Below are 25,662 nucleotides of genomic sequence, written 5' to 3'. Positions count from 1 at the left end.
CTGATCAGAATTCCAAGAGGCACAATCCTGGATGCCATAATCCCAAATGTTGAAATCCTGAAAGATCAAAGTTCCCAAAATATAATTCTGGAAAAAAATAATAAACTCTTTAAAAGATATTTATTTACACTTTTAAAAGGGGTTTTATTTGAAAAACATGTAAGCACATGACAGGACACCTCATAGGCCACTTTACACAATAAAATAGGCAATAACAACATACATATTTTTGCAAGCATAAATACTCAGGTATATAAATGGCAGTCACATGGGTATAACAGTTATGAGCAGATGAACCATATTCATAAAGAAATAGGTAAAAAGGAGGTGTATAAAGCCATGCCGCCGGGCGCGGTGGCTCACGCCTGTAATCCCAGCACTTTGGGAGGCCGAGGCGGGCGGATCACGAGGTCAGGAGATCGAGACCATCCCGGCTAAAACGGTGAAACCCCGTCTCTACTAAAAATACAAAAAATTAGCCGGGCGTAGTGGCGGGCGCCTGTAGTCCCAGCTACTTGGGAGGCTGAGGCAGGAGAATGGCGTGAACCCGGGAGGCGGAGCTTGCAGTGAGCCGAGATCCCGCCACTGCACTCCAGCCTGGGCGACAGAGCGAGACTCCGTCTCAAAAAAAAAAAAAAAAAAAAAAAAAAGCCATGCCACTGTGGCTGGCAACAGTGTGCCTCTACTTCAGTCATCTGAAATACTGTGAAGAACAACCTTTGCCTTTTGAGAAGATCAATAAAAAACTGATTACCACTGCATGTGCAGTTGCCTAAAGAACTGAGATTTTGAGAAATTTTATCTCTCCTAAAGAAGATGTACAATCACAACTTCTCTTCGTTTACTGAGGAAATTTCAACATTTTCACATACGTGCACAGCGCTTATCCACAAAGTCAAGATTCTGATAGTGCACTCTTGTGGGTTCAAATTCGCAAAAAAAAAAAATGTGTAAAAGAAATTAGAATTCTCTAGAAGATTTCACATGATTTATACCTCTGGTATTGCAAATGACATAAAGATGAAGTACACAGCATAGTGAATTATAAAACATAAGGCTGACAATTTAAATAGTAAAAAATGAAAAACAAAAAAAACTTTTAAAAACTTAAAAAAAAGAAAAGAAAAAAGGAAAAAAAATACCTAAAAGGAAAATTCAACAAATGAAAAAGTGTGTTGCAGGGCTAGATTACGGGCAATTGCACACAGATAGTCCATAAGAGCTGGCCTAACATGATGCAACTGTCCTGTGATTAGGATTTGGGGGATTTTAGACTTTAGAGATTTTGATCTTTCGGGGTTTTGACATTCTGGATTACGGTGTTCAGGAATGTGTGTTTCGGGATTATGATCCAAACCTCCACAAGAAGATAGAGGGTTGACCTGGCCTAGTACAGGGATCAAGAAGGATCTTCCTGAGGGAGAGCCATTTGAGACCTGAAGGATGAAGAGGGGTTAGCAAGACAGAAGCAGGTAGAGAAGGAAACTCTTGGCACACGGGAAGTCTGTGTGGAGGCTGAGAGGTGAAATGTGTGGAGTGTAGAACTATGGGAACTGTTTGGTATTGCTGAAGAATAGGGAGCAAGGCAGGCGGCTGGAAAGGGCAGACAGGGCCAGGTTAAGGAATTTTTCTCTTGAGGGCAATGGGAAGCCTCTGAGGGTTTTAAAGCAAGGGAGGAAGGTGATCTGATTTGCATGTATGAAAGACCACAGTAGGGCAGATGAATTAGAGAAGAGCTGGACAGAAGGCAGGAAGACAGACAGAACATTTAGGAGGCTGTTGCTATTGTCCTGGCAAGACATGATGGTGCAGTAAGGATGTTAGGAGAAGTAGATACATGCTAGATATATTTAGGAGGTAGAGATAGAGGCCTGGTCATTGATTGCATTAAAGCATGAGGGAGAAGGAGGGGTTGAGGAGAAGCCCCAGCTTTTGGAAATGACAAATAAATGGGTGGTGATGCTATTACAGAAATGGGGATCACAGGAAATGGAGTCTGGAGAGTTACATTTTTTGATGTATTGGGTTGAGGTGTATTGAGATTGAGCTACCTTTGAGGCATCCAAGTAGACATGTTGACTGAGAAGAACAATTTCATAGTAGTCAGAGTTAATTTTTGCAATGTCAACATCTGATATATAATCTATATCTATTATAGTAGAGTTCATTTTTGCAGTGTTGACATCTGATACATATCTATATCTATATCTACATCTATCTATATCTATATCGATCTATCTGCATGCTTAGGTTCCTGGGAGCTGAATATACATTCCTAGGCTGTCCATATTGGTTCATGGGTCCCAGCACAAGGATTGTAATTGTAAACATTGGAAAAGATGAGATTTGTCAGGAAACAGGTGAAGGGTAGGAGAAATCCTGAGGTGCATCAGATGTGAAGGTGGTAGGAAGAGGAGTTTCAGAGGCAGGGAGGTGTCAGAGAGGAAGGAGGGGTTCCAGGAGAAGGTAGCACAATGGGGCAAAGGAAGGTGAATGTTCCATGAAGGAGAAAGTGTTCTGCAGTGGTCAATACTGCTGAGAGTTCCATCCAGGAAACTAAGGTTGGAGGCAGTCTATGGAATGTGTAAATGTTACGAAGGTGAGGAGAACTTTGATGTTATTCAGTATGCAATGGGAAGCCCAGAAGAATTGTGAACTGGAAATCTATGTGCTTAAAGGACTGTGTGTCCGGTGGTTTAGAACAGGGGTCCCCGGCCCCGGGTCTGTGGCCTGTTAGGAACCAAGTGGCACCGCAGGAGGTGAGTGGCTGGCTGGCTTCATCTGTATTCACAGCTGCTTCCCATCACTGGCATTACTGCCAGAGCTCTGCCTCCTGTCAGATCGGTGGCAGCATCATATTCTCATAGGAGCATGAGCCTTATTGTGAACTGCGCATGGGAGGGATCTAAGCTGTGCGTTAGAAGCCAGGGGGAAGAAAACGAAGAGCTTATTTAGGAGAGTTGTCCATACTCAAGGACAAAAACACCTAAGGAGGATGGCTACGCTGGTGTGAGAGATCGTTGGAGGAAACCAGAATCGTTCTTGTTGGATCACGGAAGGCAGAGAAAGAGAAGAATCCAAGAGAAAACTCTCTTGGTCTAGTATTTAGCAGAGTGACATCTGTATCACAAATGTCATGGCTAGCAAGGGTTGCCAGCCTTCGGGAAAATTTGATAGATTTGGCTTTAGGTCATTTAGTTGTAGGCAATAGTGTCACATGCTGATGGCCTTTGTTGTTGCTGTGTTTTGTAGGTGGATGAAAATGGTGTCTGCCGAAAGCTCTTAGGATGAAAATGGTGCCTGCCACAGGCTCTTTACTTAGGATGAAAATGGTGTCTGCCACAGGCTCTTTACTTAGGATGAAAATGGTGTCTGCCACAGGCTCTATACTTAGTCATTTGTTGCATTTCTGGAAATAAGTACAATTTCATAGTAGTCAGCGTTCATTTTTGCAATGTTGACACTTAATTTTACAATTTCTGGAAACACTGGAATTAGGAGAGCTAAGGTGTTTCAGTTTCCTTTTATGGTCCTTTTCTCCTTACTCCTACAATCTTAAAATAGAGTATGAGCTTGCTCTTTCCACATCAAAGCAGTTTCAAAGATTTAATTTTCAGATTTTGTGGGTAGGATTTACCTTTCTAACCCTTGGCCACTCTTCTCATGTTTCTCTCTGATTGCCTCCTCACACTGCTCCTTTGCTCCCCTTCCTTCCCATCTCTCTCCCTCAATTGCCTTCCCACTTAGGTCTCTCCCCAGGAAATCTCAAGTGCAGCTATTTCGCAGACAACCAGATGTTAGAACGAGGAAATGTGGCCTTGCTAATCCACCTGGGACCTGGAAAGCAGAAACTACATAGTCTTGATAGAGCATTTCAAATGTATCTCTATTTCTCCCTTATAACTCTTAATTTTTTAAAAACAAAAATCTGTCCCCTTATAGGATTTAAATATCATAAGCATTTTCCTGTCAGTGTTCTGACAGTTTTTCTTTATGAGACAGCAAACACATCCTCCAAAGTATTTAATACTGGGTGTCCAGTCCCTAGTTGTTAAATGAATAAATGAATGAACGAATGATGAAGGCAGGCAGAACAGTCTATCTGCTTTTTTTTATTTTCTCCATATTGCTTTCAACTTTTTCTAGATTATTTTTTCCCAGGGGGTGTGTTTTTCCATCAGCACTGCAGAAAGACCTGGAAGTAGTCACCAGGTTCTGTGAAATGTCTTACACATTGAGGCTGCTTAGAGTTTAATTAAGAACCTAAACTGTTCTTACATAAGACTGTTAAAATTAGGAAAGGAAGTGGTTTGCCAAATTATAGGCAGCCCTAGATACATAACCAATATTAAAAAGAAATCAAATGTAAAATGTAAATCTACATACATATATGTGTATGCTGTATATGCCTTTTCTGTACTGATTTCTTTAGATTTATTACTCGGCAGAGTATGTGTGGTGCTTTTGAGCATTACTATTGATAAACGCCATCTAGTGGTGTAGAATAGCAGATGCTCTATAGGTCAATTCAACTAACATGTCATTATTATTGTTATTTCATAAAAGTAGAACCAAAAACACTCGTTAAAGGATCCTGTCTGTCCCAAGTAGAAATAAAATTTGGAAGATCAAGACATAAACTTTAAATCTGCTATGGAAGAACAGAGAAAGATCAATACAGTACTTTCTCTCAGTGCAATCCATCCACCCACTCCCTATTCATTCATCAGATATCGATCAAGACCACGTCTTTTGCCAGGTTCTGTGTGAGGTGCTGGATATAAAGTTCCAGTCTCCTCCTTGAAGGACAGCAGCAAGTGGCAAACACTGATGACCTACTGTGTCTTCAGCTGTTTTCCTTCCTCCCTCCCTCTCTTCTTCCCTCCCTCTCTCCTTCTCTCCCTCTCCTTCCCTCCTCTTCTCCTTCCTTTCCTCTCTTTTCTTTTTCCTTCCCTCCCTTCTGTCCTCCCTCCCTCCTTCCTTCCTCCCTCCTTCCTCCCTCCCTCTCTCTCTCCCCCATCTCTTCCTCCTTTCCTCCTTCTTTCTTTCTTTTCTTTCCTTCCTTTCCTTCCTTCCCCTCTCCTTCCTTCCAAGTAAGGCAAGAGGCAGAAGACACCTCTCATAGTGATAAAGTTAGTACAAGTTGTTAACCTGTGGGTCTGAGACTAGAGAAAGTGAAAGAGATAACAAGGGGTATAAAATGTAAAATAGCTACGGCCAAGAGTTTGAATCATCAGAAAAGAAATAACCCACCTGTCTTAGAAGATTCTTGGAGATACATTAGATTGGACACATTGCAGCAAAGACAAACATTGGATTTTAAATTTCTGAAACATGCGATTAAGAACACAAGAAACTTTTCGCTTCTGAAGGATATTTGTCAGTGATCCTTAATCACGCAATCCAGGATTGGCCATTCCAGATCTCCATGTCACACATCTATACAACATTAAATTCAAGTTGGCATTTTAAATGTGTTGTCTTTGCAGTAATCTGAAAATTGCTTCCTCTGTGAAACTCCCAGCTAGGTAGTATTTTATTTCCTTGAGGATCGTCTCATTATTTATCTGTAATAATCCGCATCCCCCAGAGCAGAACTGAACACAGAGTAGGCCTCCGTAGATATCCACAGAACTGAGACTTTTATATTAGATGGGTTTCTTCTAAGGCTATTATGGACAGTATAGGGTACTTAGCACATCATTTATGTTGTCCTATTGGTTTTATGTTATTCTAGTGGTTTTCATTTTAAGATAAACATGTGCTTTGTTTTTTATCATGACTGGTAGTACACTAAAGCCAGTAACCCAGCTTTCTGAGCTGCAGCTGAACCATTTCTTTTAAAATTGCAGCAGAACTTTGTATTTCTTAATTTACCTCACAAGACCATATTCAAACATGTTTCTGTTGTAAGAGGTTTCCTTTAAAAAAAAAAAAAAAAGAAAGAAAAGAAAAGTTGAAGCAGCACCCATGTGCTTGTCTGTCTGTGAGGACTTCCCTTCTAAGAGGAAAACAGAACCTGACATGGATGAAGTGCCATGTAAGTGTTTGTTACACAAGTGAATAAGCCTGTGCTTGGCCAAAGGGCACCGCTGTTTCTCAAACATGCCTGACACAGGCAGCTCCTGTGTCTTCGCCCACAGTGCTTCCTCTTGCCAGGGGTAGAGTGCTCTCTTCTCTCCTTCTCGCCTGGCCAGTTTCACATCCTTGGTCAGGCCTTTGCTGGTTGGCCCAAGCCAGATGGCTGGCTCTCCTGCTCTCTCTGTGGGCGCCACTCATTGGTGATCACGAGCACCTGCTCTCAAGTTCTTCTCCTCATCATAAAATTCATATACTCTAATAAATATTGCCCTTTGGGTCCTTAGAGTCCAATATAATACCCTGAATGTAATATGCGTTCAACGCCTATTTGTTGCAAATTATACATCTTCATTTGACATAAAAGAAATACTTATTAAAAGATGGTTAGTAATAGAAAACGGAAGGAGGAAATAAGGATAGGAGTGTAAACCCTTATTTAACTTAGGTATTCAGGTTTATTACAGTGTACACATTTCATCTGTAGGTAGAATCTTGCTGCAGTGTGTCAAGAAAATAAAACTCCCGTTTTGCTAAATTCAAACGTAAATAGCTAGAAGTACCAGGCAAGGTCAGCCAAGAAGTGCAAAACCTTGGAACAGGGTAGACAGTTGGTATGTCTTTGAACTCCAGCTCTCTTTACACTTAGAGAAAAATAGGTAAGACTGATGTTGGAATTATTTCAGGCGTGGATGTGCTGGAAGAAAACTGTAAAAAGAATTAGGCCGGGCGCGGTGGCTCACGCCTGTAATCCCAGCACTTTGGGAGGCCGAGATGGGTGGATCACTTGAGGTCAGGAGTTCCAGACCAGCCTGGCCAACGTGTTGAAACCCCATGTCTACTAAAAATAGAAAAATTATCAGGGCTTGATGGTGCGTGCCTGTAATCCCAGCTACTTGGGAGGCTGAGGCAGGAGAATCACTGGCACCTGGGAGGCGGAGGTTGTAGTGAGGCAAGATCATGCCACCACACTCCAGCCTCGGTGACAAAGCGACTCCATCCCCTGCCAAAAAAAGAAAAAAGAAAAAAAAAAAAGAATTAATCCCTTTAGTTTGTTTCTTTGGGAACCCCTAGAACACGATGCAATTCACAGGAGAAAGAAGAATTTTGAGGGATAGAAAGTGAGGCTTGGGCAACAAGGGGAGGGAAAATCTTGGCCTGGGGGAAGGCGAAAGTGATAAGTTCACACTAGCCTTTAGGCAAATACAAGTTTATAATTCACCATTGATGTTTGTCTTCAAAATTTCAGCAAAATGTATAGCTTTAACATAGAATGATTTTCAGTAAGATGTCCTGAGGCAAAAAGGATGCAGTGATATCTTCATAGGTGCTGCAATTCCACCGTCTGTGCTAAGTTTCAGGCTGTTTGCCTAAAAAGGCAAGAAACAAGAAGGCTGCTGCTAGGAAGACCAGCAAGGAGGGACACACACATTAAATCTAATACTATTTCTGGAATATTTTATTTGGTGAAGAAGGTTCAGAATCATTCCTGAGATGTGTCTCTTGAGGATCTCTTGTGGTCGGCCGTGAGGTGGACACCTCGTGGGTTTTGCTCTCGCCTGTATGTATCACCATTGTTCTGCACAGCAAAGGGGCTCACTCAGGACCTGTTTGTTGAAAGCAGGAACATTCCGATGAAGGCCAGCCTCATGTGACGTGGAGTTCTGGGAAAGTAAGAAACTCCCACGGACCTTCATAAACGTACACAAATATTTACTCTGCACAATCAATTACAGGCATTAAAAAAAATACTGCCAACCTTGGTAGTGGGGCTTAGGATATTTCAATTTTAGTTTGGAAAGCACAAGAAGTGGGATGGGAAGGTGAGAGAGTGAGAATTGTGGCTAACACCGTCATCGAAGAGTGTCTGGTCAGACTTCCTTCCATATATGATCATTATGTACTGGATATTAAGGAACACATCAAAGGGATGGGTTCCTCTTCATCTATTAGACAGTGTACATTTGTAGCTGCAGCAGTTAAGACCCACCTCAATGACAACCCACTGACCAAGGATCTGCTCCGGATTGTAGTGGATTTGTGCCTTAGGGATCAAAATGCTGGAGGAGATGTGGTTCTTCTCCTCAAGGCCCTTATAGACAATGAAACACGCAATAAGGTGAAATGTGATCATGTCCTCCCTAGGCACTCCCAGGAAAAGTTCCTTCACGGCTGCTCCTCCTGCAGGGTTTTGTTGAGTACACAGGAGATAACATTGATACCTCTTGTAGAGTATCTACAACATATGAGGATACACCTGTGAGTTGGTGAGCTCTTGAAAAGCCGAGCCTTATGTCCTGTGCATTTTATATTCCCAGCACCTAGTATGGTCTGGAACATCAGAGGATCTCCATAAATCTGTTTTTTTTTTTTTTTTTTTGAGACGGAGTCTCACTCTGTCACCCAGGCTGGCGTGCAGTGGCATGATCCCGGCTCACTGCAAGCTCCACATCCCGGGTTCACACCATCCTCTTGCCTCAGCCACCCGAGTAGCTGGGACTACAGGTGCCTGCCACCACAGGCGCCTGCCACCACGCCCGGCTAATTTTTTGTATTTTTAGTAGAGACTGGGTTTCACCGTGTTAGCCAGGAAGATCCTGATCTCCTGACCTTGTGATCCTCCCGCCTCAGCCTCCCAAAGTGCTGGGATTACAGGCTTGAGCCACCGCGCCCGGCTTCATAAATGTTTGTTAAATGAATACATGACAATCTTGTAAATGCTGATAATGGGGTGACAATTGGGAAACTCATCAAAACCTGGAGTGCTCAGGAATTGTATTATGTCACAGGATTGCTTCTTGACCTGTTTAGTTATATCTAATCCCACAGATTATACCTATAATTTAAAAAGATACGAAAGATTGTATAATGTGTACATGCTTCAGATCACAGAGAAATATAGTGTGGGAAGGACCGCCTCTATTTACCTTTTAACAGGGCTGTGTTCTAGGAAGTGTTTGTGATAGGGAAGTAGAGATAACACTTTTTCTTCAGGAAGAAGTCTGACTCTAGAAGGGGAGAAACTGAAAGCCCCAATCCAGTCTCAGGGAACCCAGCTCAAAACTCTGACAAAAAAGCCTGCTCAGGAAATTCTACGGTGTGGCTGGAAGGTAAGTTAGAGGCTGCCTCCACCTGCTTTATTATTCCTGCGTATAGATGACTGTTGCTGTCCATTTAGGCAGAGTCAATTCCAGTCTAGCTTAAAAGATTCTTCTGAGACCCTTTAATCTTTCAGCATCTAATTCAAATGTCAAGCAATTTACAATAATAGTTTCAAATAATGCTTCCTCACAGGTGAGTCAACATTTCTAAGAAAGCAGAAAAGTTGGGTATAAAAAGTTCAATTCTTCCTCGTCGGAAAAAAGATGCAAGACATTTCTACCGTGGGCTGAGCGCTGCCTGGAGGGCAGGGAGGAAGGGGTGAGCGGACCGCGCTGGGATGTGGGTGCCTGGAACTGCCAATCTCTCCGTTTTCCCCTTGGCTCCTAAAGGTCTCTTAGCAGCATTTCCTGCACGCTGGCACCCCCTGTCCTCCTAACGTTTTACTGCCTGCGTGTTTCTCTGTGCTTCCCCACCCTCCGACCCACAGGGCCCGGGGCGCCCTCCGGGGGCCGGCACACAGCAGGGTCTCGCTTCCTCGCGCTGTCTTCTTCAGATGGGATCACTTCGACTTGCGGCCGTTTGGGCGTTCGCGGGGCCTCGGCGATTCTGTGGCGTCCTGGGCTGTGTATGTAGCCCCAGCGGCCGAGGCTCACGGATCCGACCGCCCGGCCGCCGCGTCTGTCCCAAGTTGGGAGACGGGAGGGCCGGGTGGGGTCGCGCCTGCGCCAGGGGGCGGCTCAGAACCAGACTCGCGGTTTTTAACTTATTCCTCAGAGGGGCGAAAGCGAGTCTCGACAAGGACGGCGACGGCTCTCTAGAAGCCGGGGTCCAGGTAGGCTGCCCGGCCCTCGAGCTCGCCCAGCGCCGCTCATGATGCGCCCCGCAGCCCCCTCCCCAAGAAGGGCGTCCGGGCCCCTCCTGGACGCGCAGCTCCCGCGCGCCGCGGGGCCTGGGAACAGCGCACCGGCTGCGCCCGGAGCCGGGCGGACGGTGAGACTGACGGCGTCCGCGCCCAATCGTGGGGCGGGGCCGAGGGGGCCTGCAGGCAGCGACCAATGGGAGCCCGCAGAGCGGGCGGGGGGCGGTGCCGCTGGGCGGGCGGGCGGTGGCATCGGGAGCCGGCGCGGCAGACTGGGAGCCCGGGAGGAGCTGGCGGAGCGAGAGGAGGAGGAGGACGGAGGAGGAGCACCGCGCCCCCGCCGGCCGCCCGAGCGCAGGCCGAGAGCTCCAGCCGCAGCCAGCGGGTCCGGGCCGCCTCCGCCGGAGCCCGGCGCGGGGAGAGTCCGGGCCGATGGGCAGCCCCGGGCAGCGGCGGGCGGCGAGGCGGCAGCCCGGGTACGCGCCGCCCGGCGCGCACAGGCTGTAGCAGGTTCCGGCGGACGGCGTTGCGAAGGTTCGTGTCGGGGAATCCGACGGGCAGCGTGGCGAGGGTCGGTTCGGGATGCCTGCGGCCAGGCGGGGACTGTCCCGAAGGGGAAGGGGATGCCCTTCGGGGCGCTTTGGGGGGCTGACGGCGGCGAGGGGTGCGAGGGGCGCGGGGGTGCGAGGGTCGCGGCGCAGGGTCCGGCTTGTAGACGCAGATGCGCCCGCGCTCCCGATCCCCGGCTGGAAGAGGAGCCGCCGCCGCCTGTTCTCTCCAAGTTATCGATCGGCTGAAAGGTTATTCCCGTCTCGGCGACACAGGCACTGAGGAGGGTCTTCTCCAGGTGCCCAGAACTTCGCTCTGACTAACGCTCTCTGGAAGGGCTCGCGGTTGCCCGACGCAGCTTCCCCGGCGCGCCTGGCCAGCTGACGCCGAACTTGCTGCGGGGCTAATTCCCCTTCTAGAGGGGGTGCGCCCGGAGCGCGCGCCCTCACCGGGACGGATCCCTCTTTGTAAGACCGGGAGCCTCCGGCGAGCGCTCTTCTCACTCACCGCGACCTTTCTTCCCACTTTGCCAGCTCCTGGGCCTCTCCGGGTCTTCCCGTGTCAGTGAGGGTAGTTTGCCCACGTCCTGGGAATATCCCTGGGAACACCTACAGATTAATTTTCAGCCGTGCCGCAAACCCAAAGAATCAATTTCGGCTCATCATCTGCAAGAGAGAGCCGAGGCTTCTCGGAAAGAGAGAACAACTTGGCATTACCCCTGTGGGAGATATTTGTCATCATTAACCTGCTTGAGTTAAATTAATTCAGCCCAAGATGACTCTGGCCTGAGTATTGGAAAAAATCAAGTGCATTGGTTACGGAATTGTGCTCACCAAAACATGATTTTGGTCAAAACAAAATTGTAGACATTTTGGATTTTGGTTAGATTGAGACTGGGTTTTGACAAGGATGGCTTTTTTTTAAAAAAAACAAGGAAAAAAACCCTCAAAGAATCTTGGTGATTCTCATGTCTTTGCCCAGTAAGTTCAAAATAGTCGCACAGATTTTTCTTTTCTTTGCCTCTTTTGTCTGCAGTCTCCATTCTAAACGTTAACACTAGATGGCTTTCTTATGACAGACATTTAGTAAACTGCCCATTTGAGTCGCGTTTGTGTGCAGCCTAGGTTGTAATTTTTCTAGTGTTACAATTAGTAATTGAAGAAAAAAGATCTCCCAAACTGTTGCTTTTTATTGCTTTCCTAGAAAACCTACACATACCGATATTTTTGCGGATATTGAGAGGTGGCCTATTATTTTTGGCATTCCCAAAGTTGAATTTCAAGAGACAACTTGGTTACTGTATTTAGTTACATCATTTAAGAATGCTTGTTTCATGTTTGGACTTATTTAAAGAATTCAGAGTTCTGTTAGTTTTGTCATTCTGTTTAGACAATATTTCCAGTTAAAAGATGTTTACCGCTTGATTGAATTTCACTGCTTGATTCAGAGTTATAAGAGAGTATTATTCATGAGAAAAATGCAGTCTTTCTTAAGTTTTGGGTATAAATCACATTGATTCTTCCTAAAAGATTCCATTGATCCATTTTGGGAAGAGATGCAGTTAAAGTATCTGCATGATTCATACCAGGGATTGTGTTAGGGACATCTCCCCAGAGGATGTTTGATTTTTTCATTTCTAAGCACAAGCCCTTTTATGACAAGCACAATAGCCCGTAGTTTCAGCAGTAACAGCAGCAGCAGCAGCAGCAGGCTCCCAGTTATGTTTTTAAGCACTTTTATTCTAAAGCAAGATCACGGCAGCCTGTCCAAATCTTGCCTAGGTAGGCAAACTTATTTATACGCTGAGTAAATATCTTGAAATTATCTTTGTAGCTATCATTTATTGTGTGCCTTGCCCAGCTTAAAATAAGACATACTGAATTTGTTCTAAATTAGAGTGTATTCATAAATAGCTGAAGGAAAAAGAAGAAAAACTACAGAGCAAACATCTGGGAAGTAGGAAATGAAATCAGAAACAGCTTTTATCAGTACCCACATTCTACCTATAGATGGGGTGAAATGAACCTGGATAAGAAGCAGTGTAAGCACTTGATCCGGAAAAGCAAGAGCTAGATCACAGGTATGGGGGTGGAGCTTCTGGCTTTTAGTATGGGCCACAGATTTTACCCAGTTGCTTTAAGTATATGTTTTTCATTAGATGCTTTTTATGTTTTGAAATCATAGATTTTCTCAAAGAGCTTTAATTGTATGGAATGTAACTTTTAGTCTAATAAGGGAATTATCAGATCATGATTTGGCTTCTATGATGCTTACTGTAGTTAAAGCTGTGTAATATGGATTTGGAAGGTGTTTTTTTTTTTCTCCCCCTCACCCCGCAAGACTGGGATGGTGTTTTGAAGGGTTCCTTGATACCTGAGCTTAGTAAACACTTGTCCACCTTGGGGATCTTTTTACCTGAGGCAAAGGAGAAGCGGGTTATTATTTTGAAATTAGCAGTCTATTTCTGAAAGTAAGGAAATACTAGCTACCCTGAAAAACCAGTTGTTTGGTAATTGAAACTGGTTTAAAAGCACTGTGTTTGGGCATCGAAACTAGTTTAAAGGGATTGTGTTTCCTGCATACTTTGCAAAGAACTATGTGTTTATGTGGATACAGCCCCTTGCCCCCAACCATAATTGGTAAATGCAGCGTTATTTTTTGAGATTGAGGAAGGCATTGAGTTTTTGAACTTCTGATCAATTTATGGTGGTAGTTGAGGATTACAAATCCTTTTAAAGACACACTGAATTTGAAGAAAATTTAGACTAGGGTATTGTTAATTGAAAAGCTGCTTTTTTTTTTCTTTCTGTTTTGAACTTCAATGAAATACAAAGTACAGTCCTAGAGAATAGTGAACCATGTTCTAGGTTTTCTACTTCTGTTAATGTGCCTAATTCATTTGCAGAGTGAGAGTAGAAAAAGCTTTAGGCACAGACAGGAACCTTGAGCTTCCTGCCTCTACCACCTGTCACAAATGAATTTGGATGAAACTATTTTCATGATCCCTTTCAGCACCAAAATTTGGGGTTTCTTTAAGGTTTAAGACGAACGCATTAGAGTAATGAAAATGCCTGTCTGACTGGGATGTTTATATTTTTCATGATTATGTCATTTCTTTGCCTTGGCCTATAGTAAGTTTGTATGTGAATGCTTTGCATGAGGGTCATAGCTACTTGGTTTACCTTGAAATCAATGATTCAGAAATTGCTTTTTGTGTTCCAGTTGCATGTAGCTGTGACTCCTTTTAAAAGTGTGGTAACAATGTGGTAGGAATTTAAAAGCTTCCCAACTTTAGACATAGATTATTTTGATCCTTTCTGAACTGGATTCATAAACTTTGGTTCCAAAGAACAGCAGCTGTAGAAGGGAGCCAGATCTTGACTCACTGTTGAGGTTCTGCTTCTTGAGAGATTTCATATTTAGTGCAACCCAATTCCTTGGTTCGTTCTTCTCCCCCAGTACTAGATAGCCAAGTTGGGTGGTAGGAAGGAAGAAAATATGCAGCAAGTCGAGTCTAGTTGTCATGCTCCTTTGGGCCAGAAAGGACCTTAAAGATTGTCTCGTCATGTTGTTCCTATACCTTTTGTTTTCGTCTACCTGTAAAATGAAAAAAAAAAAAAAAAGCAAATATTAGGGATTGTCAGATATGTCAGCATTTAATGTTGCTACATAAGTGTGTTTAAAATTGACAACAGCAGTTACTACCTATTGTCAATGCATTTCGTCAAAATCCTTTTGATGTACCAAAAAAGAGAAAAGGTGGGGAAAGGGGGAAGAATATGTATGCTGTCAGACTTAAAGGAGAGTTCTTCCTATCCAGAGAGGAGCTGTGTTAAAATTACCCCACTCGTGGATTTATATCTATCCCCACACAGACACTTTTTTCTTTTGCATGGGTCAATGAAAAATTCACTAAGGACCGGGGTTTAGAAATCACTGAGTAGCTCAACTAACCCTTCTTTGATATTTGGATCCTTTTATATAATCTCTGTAAGTGGTCTTCCGGTAATACCTGAACATTGCAAGTAACGGGTGGTGATTTCCACCTTTTAATGGTTTTGAGTACTAGAAAGTTTTTTGGCCTATAGAATTGAAATCTGATTCTGCTTGTTTATTCAAATTCTACTGCCTTGGTGGCCTACAGAACAAATCCTTCAGTCTCTGTCAGAGTTGGGCTCTTGGTGTAACGTGACCCGTGAACATGACCTGTGTAGAGTACAGCAGGAGTGTCTTGTCATAGGTTGCATGTTGCTTGCACTGATGTAGTCCAAGTTTGCATTTACTTTTCTGGTGGCCAGACTCAACGAGTTTCCTTTTCGCTAAAACCTGCCGAGCCGTTAATCACATGCTGCCATTGAACCTCGTCTTTCCATCTTGCGCTGATGTCATTGCAAAACCTAACATTTATTGCGCTGTGGTTTTGCTTTATTTTAGCTGATTCTTTCCATCATGCTTTTTAGAATTTGATTATATTATTTGGCACCTTTACCTGTCCTCCCAAAGAAATGCTGTCTGTACATTATTAGATCAGACTCTTTTATATCTTTACTTAAGCCGGTGATGAAATTGTTAAACTGGCTGAACAACACGAAGTGTGTCTCTGGAAGCTTCCCTCGAGGCTTACAAGGAGTCACACTCTCGGTTATAGTTAACTACTAATGCTCTTCATATCTTATAACTAGCCCATATAGCTCCACCTTTCCACATGGATATCCTGAAAGAGTGTGTCAAACCTCCTTTGCTGGTTCTACTGACCAAGTTATGCTGAGTAATAATGAGTTCATTTTCAGTGTGTCCCTAGTAACGAGCACTCTCTTCTGCATATGATTAAGAAAATGTGTTAAATGACTGACTGGATTGAGACACTAGGGTCACACTGTGATCTGTGACCTCCGGAGGCCTTAGGAACTGCAGTGCTTCTAGGAAAAATCAGAATATTGTTGGACTTTCTTCAGCTTATTTTTTGGTTTGGTATTCTCTTGTGTTGAATTGCTTTCAGATAGTGGGGAAGAACACCACAGTCTCTTCCGGTTTTGTTTTAATTGGTTGATATACTTCTCTTCCTATTTTACTAATAAACATTTAGCCAAAAGGGGTGTCTTGAACTCTGCCCATTAGATTACTCCATATTTTTCACTTCTACATATTTGCTTAATCTTCTGAGAAATATCCCCATTTAGTTGAGTTCCTCAAGAAATCAGAACAGTCCGAAGTAAGCTATCTGGTAGTTTATTCAAACTCTTAAGTAAAAATATCTAGGTAAAGAGCCAGTGTTAAAAATTGTTATTGTGGAAAGTAAGAACTCCTGGGTGAATAAAAGATTATGTCTGCTGAGATGAACTATTGTGTGGAGTTTTAAAAGAAAGTTCTGGTTAATGCTTAAGACATAGTGTCCTGTGAAGTCAGCATAACTACTTTCACTGTCTTCTGGAGGTGGTTTTGATAACACATTTGGTTCCTTGTTGAACAGTGGGTATTCACATTGTTCAGGAATAGCTTTGGGATACTGTCCTCTCCGTATTGAAGTTTCTAATAAGTAATTTTAGGAATTATAGTTTTGATTCTTTGTACAGGGCAAATGCTACCTGTTTCAGGTGTTTAAATGGCCTAATGCAAGAAACAGTGGTTTCTTTTTAGCAGGTTCTCAAGGTTCTCAAACTTTTTTCAACGTGCATCCCATCTATACACAATTGTCTAAGTGTTCATGTATGTATGCGTATACATGTATACATATCTGCATGCACGTTTGTGTGTGTGTATATGTATAATATATCTGTATGTATAAACATATACTTTACTGTGCTAAGATATTATGGACATAAAACAAATGTACATTTTAAGAAGATTAATATTAAAAATAAATAGATGTAGAAGTATTTTCTCTGCATCTCAAGGGCATTTGTATCTTTGAAATGTGTGGCCCCTGTGTAGAGACCACTGTTGTACTATCACTGGTTAGAGTTTATAGCAGTTGAGAAATGGAATTTCTAGGGAGCCTGTAGGGTCTTGTGAGGCAAGCGGAAGACAAACTCCACTCTTGATGGGCCTTATATTTACTGTGTATTTATTCTTTTTCCCGAAGACATTTCTGACTTTGGCCTGTTTTCTTCCAGAATTGCTTGTGGGTCTTGGTTTGGGGTTTCATTTATTGAGGGGTAGGAGGTTAATGTAATGGCGATGCTATTCTCCTTAGAAAGTTTCTAATTGAACTCAGCTGTTTTTTTGTTTTGTTTTGTTTTGTTTTTTGAGACAGAGTCTCGCACTGTCACCCAGGCTGGAGTGCAGTGGTGCGATCTTGGCTCACTGCAAGCTCTGCCTCCTGGGTTGCTGCCATTCTCCTGCCTCAGCCTCCCAAGAAGCTGGGACTACAGGTGCCTGCCACCATGCCTAGCTAATTTTTTTTTGTATTTTTAGTAGAGACGGAGTTTCACCATGTTAGCCAGGATGGTCTCGATCTCCTGACCTCGTGATCTGCCCGCCTCGGCCTCCCAGAGTGCTGGGATTACAGGCGTGAGCCACTGTGCCTGTTCTGAACTCAGCTGTTTAAGAAGCATCATACTATCACACTCAGACGAAAGCATTCCCAGGATCAGGGTATGTTAAAAGTTCAGATTGACAGCCTAGCTCTGTCTGTATGTGATTGGCCAGAACTGTAGCACACAGCCACCCGTAGTGCAAGGAATGCCTGGCTTCCCAGCCGTTAGTGGGTTGGGAATGAGTGAGGAGAGACAGCAGGGAGCCCTGCTCTTGTATCTCCAGTAACTTCCAGCTAAACGAGCACCATCCACCCCCACCCATCCTCCTGTTCGATTTTAATAATGGAACATAAGCAGCAAACAGGCAGGGACATTTCTGGTTTACTGCTGTATTCCCTGCACTTAGGTGGTTTTTGCCACATAATAGGCTCACAGTAAACAAATATTTGTTAAAGAAATGATTGGGAGTTGTGGGTTGAACGTAAAAGAACTTCCTTTATCTTGGCTTTTGTTGAACTAAATACTGTTGAGCAAGTTCTAATCATTATTTCTATTGTACATGATCTATCTTGAACAACAGTTTATACCTCATTTATGCCTTTCCTGGGTCGTTTGAAATGACCTGTGATTGAACTCTGATATGGAACTGGTAAAAATGTGGAAGTTTCTGAAGAGGGACTGTGTTCCATCTGTTACATCAAGAACTTTATAGCCCCATTCAGAGGGGTGTGGTTCCTGGGAGCCTGGGCACCCTTAGGTGGCCGCCTTTCATGAGAGAGTATGATTCACACCTTTCCCAGGTTTCAAAGTCTCATCTGTGCTGATGCCTGCATAGCCCTATTTGAATCCCATGAGGCTGCAGTTGACTTAAAAGCCCTGGCTGGGGCTTAATCAAGCTTACTGAACAGAAAGGATTTCTGAATTGTGTAGTACTGTCTGTAGTCCTTTAGCTCTCAGTCCATTAGCAGGGTTCATTTCTACAGGAAATCATGATGTTTAAAAACCCCATCAGTATTGTATAGTGCATCTTTTGTTGACTCAGTACATGAGGATATTATTTATGCCTTAAATGTGGTAGGTGCTCAGTAGCCATAGTCTTAATTTTATATGGTAAAAGTCTTTTATCTTTAATATCTTAACGTAGTGCTAGTTCTTATAATATGACATTAGAGGGATGTCATTCTAACTCCTATTTGTTTACATTTGTGTATAAGGTATGCTGTGATAAGTGCTGTAAGCAAGGCATACATGATAGTAGAAGCATCCAATTTATCAACCAATTTTATTTGAGGATCGTTGTAACTCATTTGTTTGGAATAATAGGTCATTTTTCCCATTTAAAATGTTTTAATTTGGGCATAGTGGCTCATGCCTGTAATCCCAGTGCTTTGGGAGGCTGAGGCAAGGATTGCTTGAGCCCAGGAGTTTGAGACTAGCCTGGACTGCAAAGCAAGGCCCCATCTCTACAGAAAATTTTAAAATGAGCCGAGTGTGGTGGTGCACACCTGTCGACCTAGCCACTGGGGAGGCTGAGGAGGGCCGATCCCTTGAGCCCAGGCGTTCGAGGTTACGGTGGGCTGATCGTGCCAGTGGACCCCAACCTGTGTGACAGAGTGAGACCCTGTCACAAAAAAAAAAAAATGTTTTAAATGACAAGAATAAGTGAAGGAGACTAATGTTGATTTATGAAGAGAATAAAGAATTGGGGAGAGATATTCTTAAAGGCGAGTGTAAAATGTTACCGTGCTTGAACTTTCATTTGTGTTCTCTCATGTATACTTAACGAGAACCTTATAAGGCTGGTGGGATTTTTTTCCCTTTTACAGATACAAAAACTAAGGTTTAATGAAAGTGTGGTTTTCTGAATCTGAGTCCTTATGTTTTAAACCCATTTCTCTTGGTTCCAGCTATAGTGTTCTTTATTCTACAGCTCACTTGTAAGGTATGGTAGGTTTCAATAAATCATGATGAAAGGAAAGAATGAAAAGACAGAAAGGAAGAAGGGAGAGAGGGAGGGAACTAAAGAAGGTGTGTGCATATAAGAATGGCGGAATTACCGACTCACTATCACTGAAAGGGGGAAGTGGAGGCTGAGGGTTGGGCTAATGAGCTCATTGTTCTGGTCTAAAAACTGCCCTGTTCTCTCAGCCAGTGAATTGTCTGTTATTAACTAGAAATTTTGTAATTTGTGGTGAGGTAGCAGTTTTACTGATTGAATCAGGTTATATATTCTTTGTTGGGAAGTGAGTGGGTCCTTCTGTGATCATGCAGAGAACATTTTTTTTAGCCCGAGTCTTTGCCAAGATTAAAAGAAATATAAGAGGAAAACAATTTTTGTTTTGCATTTATATTTTGCTAGATTTGCATAATCTTTGTTTAAGCCAGTTGAATGTGAATCCCTAAATACATTTCAGGCATTTAAATATTTAAAAGGATTCATCCACAGTACTTTACTCACCCAAAGAATAAGTGCTTACAACAAAGAAAATAACACCCTTGCAGATGTAGCCTATGTAGACTTTGTTCACCTTGTCATTGAATTATACAACATTAATAGAGAAGCTAGAATTTGAACATTCACTGAAATGCTTAGCTGGCTCTGTTCCAAAATATTGTTTCCCTGGTAGAGAAAGCAGGACAATTTGTTTAAAACTGGCAGTTTGCCAGTCAGAATAGCTCTGACGCAATCATTGCAGTAACTACTTTGCTCTGACTGCTAATTTTAGGGCAGTTAAATCTGGGTGATGTCTGATGGCTGCTGTCGCTGTGCGTCTGGTTATGTGAAGCTTTCTAAATTCATCCTCTTAGCTTGGCACCGTAACTTAGTTCTTTCTGAGATAAGCTGTGGAGCAGAGGGGATGTTGAGTCGGCACAGGATATGTGCATGGAATGAGGAACAAGGCCCTAGGAGAGTTTCAAGAGACACTGCTTTCATCTTACTACGCTCTTTGTTATTCCAATAGCAAAGGCTTAGCACATCTGTACTTCCCTTGCTGTAGCACCCTGGGAGGTGTTGAGGAAGGTGGAGAGAAGTGTACATCGAGACACCTACCTTCATGGAACAGGGTTCTGGCAATATGCACTTGCTTTCCTTGTCATCCCTGCAAGCATTAGTGTGTTTAAAAGTGAACTTTTATCTTCTTCCTTTTTGGAACAGGTAAAACTACGGAGAAAAATGGTAATTTAAAAAAATCTGGCCGGGCGTGGTGGCTCATGCCCATAATCCCAGCACTTTGGGAGGCTGAGGCGGGCGGATCATGAGTTCAGGAGTTCAAGACCAGCCTGACCAACATGGTGAAACCCCGTCTCTACTAAAAATACAAAAATTAGCCAGGCTTGGCAGCGCGTGCCTGTAATCCCAGCTACTCAGGAGGCTGAGGCGGGAGAAACGCTTGAACTCGGGAGGCGGAGGTTGCAGTGAGCTGAGATCGCGCCACTGCACTCCAGCCTGGTGAGAGAGCAAGACTCCATCTTAAAAAAAAAATCTATTTGGAGCATTTAAGAGCAGAGTAGAATATCCTGCTATTGCAGATGATACAAGTGGGATAAGGGGTTCTTCCATGGCCTTGTCTAACTCCCTCAGCTTTCTGGGGCAGTGACTATAATCCAATTTTAAAATAAGGATGTGGGACCATGCCATCTTGAAGTCTTTTTAAATGCTGGCATTCTAAGATTTCCAAGTTAACAGGGGCACCCTAGGGTGTGAGACCCCTGAGGACAGGGATCTTGTCCTTCCATCCCTTCCATCCCGTCCTGGGTAGCTGTCAGGCAGAGTCAGCAAATTAACTGACTCTTAGAATTTAGTCCTCGGAGGGACTTTGAGTGTTCTTCTAGTTAAACTTCCTGATGTTACTGATTCAGAACTATCAGAGGGCATGATTTAATCACTAGAGCTATTGTGTAGTAGCATGGGCTACCTTATTAGGTGATGAATGCACTGCCTTCTTAGGTGATGAACTAACTAACTTGGGCAGAGTTGATGGCTATGTGTCAGGTGTATTAGAAAAAGATTCCTGTGTAAATGAGACCATATGATAGATGGGCGCTACAGCTTCTTTCAGATGAAAGACTGTGTGGTTAGCTGAGAATAAGGTGGGTTTGCATGGTTAGGAAAACATTCAAGGAAGATAGAACTTGAGTTAAGCTTTGGAAAATGGTTAGGATTTGAGTTTTTGTTGAGGGCCTCTTGTGTGCAGGGAAACTGTAGGCCCTCTCCAAGACCAGAAGATACATACAGAACACTCTCAGTTGTTCCTTTGATCACAGTACTATCTCTATTAAAATGATCTGCTTAAATACAAACTCATCTTTTTGCCTGGTTTAGGTTTTGCAACTCCAGAGATGCATTTTATTAACAAAAGCAACATTAAGGAGAAGTGACGGACAGTATTTTCAAAGTGGTGATAATTACTTTGTCTATCACGTAAGATGGTCATTATGTTTTTTTTCCTCACTGTAATTTACTGAAGGTTATAGACTGTGTCATAAAACTAAAGGAAAAATTACTTTGGATATACAGAGATATAAATGACGTTTTGGTATAAAATTACTGAATTCATTTCAGTTAGTTGACAGAATATACACATAGTATTATATTTGCAACTCAAGGTCATGTGTTTTGTTTTGAGACTTTATACTTAGGAATATATAACTTGATAATTGATACACTGAAGTGATTTATTTTAAAATTATGCGGAGTAACAAGAGTTTTTTTTTTTTTTTTTGAGATGGAGTCTCACTCTGTCCCTCAGGCTGGAGTGCACTGGTGCAATCTTGGCTCACTGCAACCTCCGACTCTTGGGTTGAAGCGATTCTCCTGCCTCAGCCTCCTGATTAGCTGGGATTATAGGCGCACGCCACCATGCCCAGCTAATTTTTGTATTTTTAGTAGAGACGGGGTTTCACCATCTTGGTCAGGCTGGTCTCGAACTCCTGACCTTGTGATCCACCCGCCTTGGCCTCCTAAAGTGCTGGGATTACAGGTGTGAGCCACCGCGCCCAGCCACAAGAGTTTTAAACTGAGGCGACATTAGGAAGGATGTCTGTGGACAAAAAGAGCTCGCCTCGCCTGAGCATCCCTTCCGCCCCCAGGTCTCTGGGGTGTTGTTCGTTTGCTGCTGATGCTCCCTTCCTTCAGTCCACTTCCTATCTTATGTCTCATGAACTAACAGTAAGTGCTGGGTAAGATTTGCGTTCTGCTTTAAACTTCTGAGATTTATTTAAACCAGTAAATCTCAGTGTAATCACCATATACTTTCCCCCAACGTTTTATCATGCAAATTTGCAATCTTACAGAAAAGCTGAAAATATTGTGTGGTGTAGTGGACACCTCTGTACCCACCTCCTGGATCCCACAGTTGTTAGGTCTGGCTTTATTTGCTTTATAGATGTCTCTCCGTCTTCTACCCATCCATCAATCCATTTTATTTTTTGGATGCATTTCAGAGTAAGTTGCACACTTTTTACACTTTTATCACTAAACACTTCGGCATGTATATTGTAAACGAGTTAAAAAGTTTTACATTTTTTGAAGTAAAAGGTATAGAGTGAAATGCACAAATCTTAAGTGTATCATTCTGGGAGTTTTGATAAATGCATACACCCATATGGCCCATACTTCTATTAGGATGTGAAATGTTTCTCCCACTTCTGAAAGTTCTCTGATGTCCCTGCCCGGTCAACTTACTCTTTTTGTTTCCCACCTTTATCTGAGGCAACCTTTGTTCCTTTTTTTTTTAGGGCCATTGATAAGTTTTGCATGTTCTTGCATGTGATGTAAATGGAATCATGCAGTATGCACTCTTGTGTATAAAGCTGCTTTCAAAATTCAGCATAATTTATTTATTTTTACTTTGTTGTATACTTTATATGACCACACTGGGTTTTCTTTGCCTTCATCTTGATCACATGACCTTTTCAGAGGTCATATCCATTTGTCAGATGATTTTAGGAGCAATTTCTGTCAGATATTTATGTATTTATCTTCAGTCACATCTCAACTTCCCTTTTCCTTACAGGGGTGTGATTTTCCTATCTGATTTGGCAGTTTCCCCACTGGGTCTCATCTTACATCCCACCCATTCATTCTGGAGATGAGGTGCTTCTTTTGTTAGTTGGCTGACACTTGCTGCGGGCCTGGCTCAGGCCAGCTCACAGCATTGAGCTGAGCAACTTTGCTTCTGAAGAGATGGATCCTGACATATTACTGGTTTATTTGTATCTGATACTTAGAAAATTTTAGGTGAATGGAAATAAATCTGTTTATCTTTGCAAAACTGAGGAATTATTTCTAATTAATTCAAATTATTTCCAATTATTTCAAATGCAACAATTATTAAAACTAAAAAAATTTCCTGAGTTCAGTTTTATGATAATATGTGAAGGAGACTAATCAATTAGCCCTGAAAAAATACAGATTTTCAATCACTTATGCTGAAGAGAACTGGCTGGCAAAATGAAAACCTAGTTGACCTAAAAATAAAATTCTAGACTTAGTTAACCACCCGCTTTTCTATTTCTTCTACTACTGAAGTTCTGAGTTGCTAAACCTCTCCAAACATAAATGAAAGTACTAAAACGTTTTCATCAGCTGTACCGGGTTAATGGTGGTTTTGCATGTGGAATGTGCCATCAAGGTGGGAAGACTTTTCCTTAGGGCTGTATTGGTTAAGGTAGCTCTGCCTGCTCTAAGAGACACTACAAAATGCTCTGGCAGTGGAAAAGCTGATTTCTTTCTAGGGTGACAGCCCAAAGTCCGGACAGGTAGGCTGCTCTCCTCCACCTGACACGTGTGGATTCAGGTTCCTTCCATCTGTGTCTGCCACCATAGGGCCCAGCCTCACTGCATTGCCCTGAGTGGTCTGCGCTGAGGCTTGTTGAGGTGGAAGGGGCACCCAGGTGTGCATCACCTAAAGGGCTGGCCCAGAAGGGTCTCCTCCATCCCTTCCACTCTCATTCTTCTGGAGCTCTTACTATGACCTGACCTAATTTCAGGGGATGCTAGGGAATGTCGTGTAGCTGGTTATCCCTGGGCTTCTGTTCTAGTCTTGTGGAATTAGCATTGCCAATTGTTTGGTTCTGCTTTGCCCAGCGGGTTTTATGATGCTTTGTGTGATGCTGGATGTTAGAACTCTTGTGTTGGGGGCTTCCCTAGTTAGTATTCCTCTCTACTGTAGGATAAAAGTCCTTGTGATCTTGAGCTCTTTTTGCTATACTGTACTCCCAAGATGCAGAACACATTTTGGATAGATCAGACATGGGCTAAGACTGAGGGGCCATCTCCATGGCTATGGGGCCTGTATGTCAGTCAGCGGCTTCCTCTCTAAAAGTCCCCATTTCTGAACCTGTAAGTGCAAAAAATTCAGTCTGTGTCATAGTATTATGGAGAGGATTTATCGAGAAAAGCTGCCTATCGTATAGCTGGTGCTCAGATGTATTCATTCGTCAGCTATTTATTACATGTTCTTTTTTTACCAGACACAGTTCTAGGGACTCAGGTTATGGTGGTGAGTAAGGCAGACAGGGTGTTGCCCTTGTGGTGCTCTTATTCTGGAAATACAGTAGATTTTCTAATAATATTTCTCAAGATAGAGTCCTCCCTGCCCCCCCTCATTGGAAGTAGTTTAGTTCTGGGTGGAGGAAGGGAGGGTAAAGTCTAATAATTAGATTGTTGACAGATTCTATAACTTCGAAAGAAATGTTACTGGAGACATGGATCAGGGGATGTAATAAAAGACCTAGTCCCTGTTTAAAATTCAGACTCATAATAGAAGGCTTAAGAGACACTTGATGAATGGAATAATGGTAATCACTTATTCAGGAGCCAGAGGGTTTCTTGGGAGCAAAAACCTTTCGAATGACTGCAGGGCCCTCTGGCTTTCCTGTGATTCAGAGGAAGTTCCACTGGAGTCCAGGGGCCATCTCATACTCTGAGGAGCTGGGATGGGGTCGGGGCAAATAGTAAGGAAGCAGTTGTGTGTGTGATTTTCTCCTTCTCTAATGAGCTCACGTTGTGCTGCTTTAGCCTGAAAGGACCTTCAGCAGACTGCTGGCTAGCACCTTGAAAAACTCTTGAAGTGACGATTCTGATCGATTTTAGTGGCCACTTTGGAGACCGTGTGGAGTAGATTCCGAGCCTGTGTCCAAGCTCAAGGGCAGCAAGTGCTGTGGTCAGTGCACCATGGTGTCAGGGGCAGGAGATGGAGTGTGGCCACCATTCTTGGGCTCTTGAGTTTTGTGTCTCTAGAGTTATCTTGTGGTTTCCAAGGATGTGTAGCAGTAATTCTGATGATACCAGACATAAATATTCTTTCCAGAGGGTCACCTCATAACATCCACAGTGTACTATGAACATGAGCTTATTCCTCTCAGAATGTTTTGAGAGTAGAGGCTTACACTTGTTTGCTCTAAGTTAAGGGATTATATCCAGCTTTGGACTGGAATTTTCTCCTAGAGATTGGAGTGTTCATGTTCTTGAATGAAGACATGCAAAAGAATGAAAACTTAGTGATAAGGATGCATTTGTCACTTTCCACTATCAAATTAGAAAAAGAGGCAGAAAACTCTTGGTTAAAATAAATGACATTTCAAATTTTTGTA

The 25,662-nt window shown here is 43.0% G+C and overlaps 1 protein-coding gene and 1 long non-coding RNA gene across 7 annotated transcripts in view, besides 2 other annotated features; one reads left to right on the top strand and one right to left on the bottom strand.

Moving 5' to 3' along the window:
- Positions 1–7,514: 7,514 nt before the first annotated feature.
- LOC124904551 (uncharacterized) lies at positions 7,515–9,860 on the bottom strand. Its single transcript, XR_007066943.1, has 2 exons — positions 9,006–9,860; positions 7,515–7,685 (listed from the first exon to the last, which is right to left on the bottom strand). It is a non-coding gene; the product is annotated as an uncharacterized LOC124904551 (long non-coding RNA).
- Positions 9,892–10,371: a silencer, noted in NCBI's record as "silent region_1958". NCBI's record gives its function as "represses an Ori minimal core promoter by ATAC-STARR-seq in GM12878 lymphoblastoid cells {active_cell/tissue: GM12878}" and the evidence as "EXISTENCE:reporter gene assay evidence [ECO:0000049][PMID:35858748]".
- The window catches only part of SIPA1L2 (signal induced proliferation associated 1 like 2), a 232,532-nt gene continuing 216,815 nt past the window's right edge, over positions 9,946–25,662 (top strand). For 3 of the 6 annotated variants that reach the window (NM_001377488.1, XM_017001896.2, XM_047426142.1), the window contains exon 1: positions 9,946–10,012. The gene's annotated coding sequence lies outside the window, so the exon portion shown is untranslated. Of the gene's footprint in view, positions 10,013–10,308; positions 10,574–25,662 lie in introns of those variants that run through there. The other 3 variants (XM_005273213.5, NM_020808.5, XM_047426141.1) reach the window with 1 other exon arrangement.
- Positions 10,432–10,531: a silencer, noted in NCBI's record as "silent region_1957". NCBI's record gives its function as "represses an Ori minimal core promoter by ATAC-STARR-seq in GM12878 lymphoblastoid cells {active_cell/tissue: GM12878}" and the evidence as "EXISTENCE:reporter gene assay evidence [ECO:0000049][PMID:35858748]".

This window comes from Homo sapiens, chromosome 1, assembly GCF_000001405.40.
Source record: "Homo sapiens chromosome 1, GRCh38.p14 Primary Assembly".
Taxonomy (NCBI): domain Eukaryota; kingdom Metazoa; phylum Chordata; class Mammalia; order Primates; family Hominidae; genus Homo; species Homo sapiens.
Note: the sequence above shows the minus strand (reverse complement) of the source record. Positions and strands in the feature narration are given on the sequence as shown.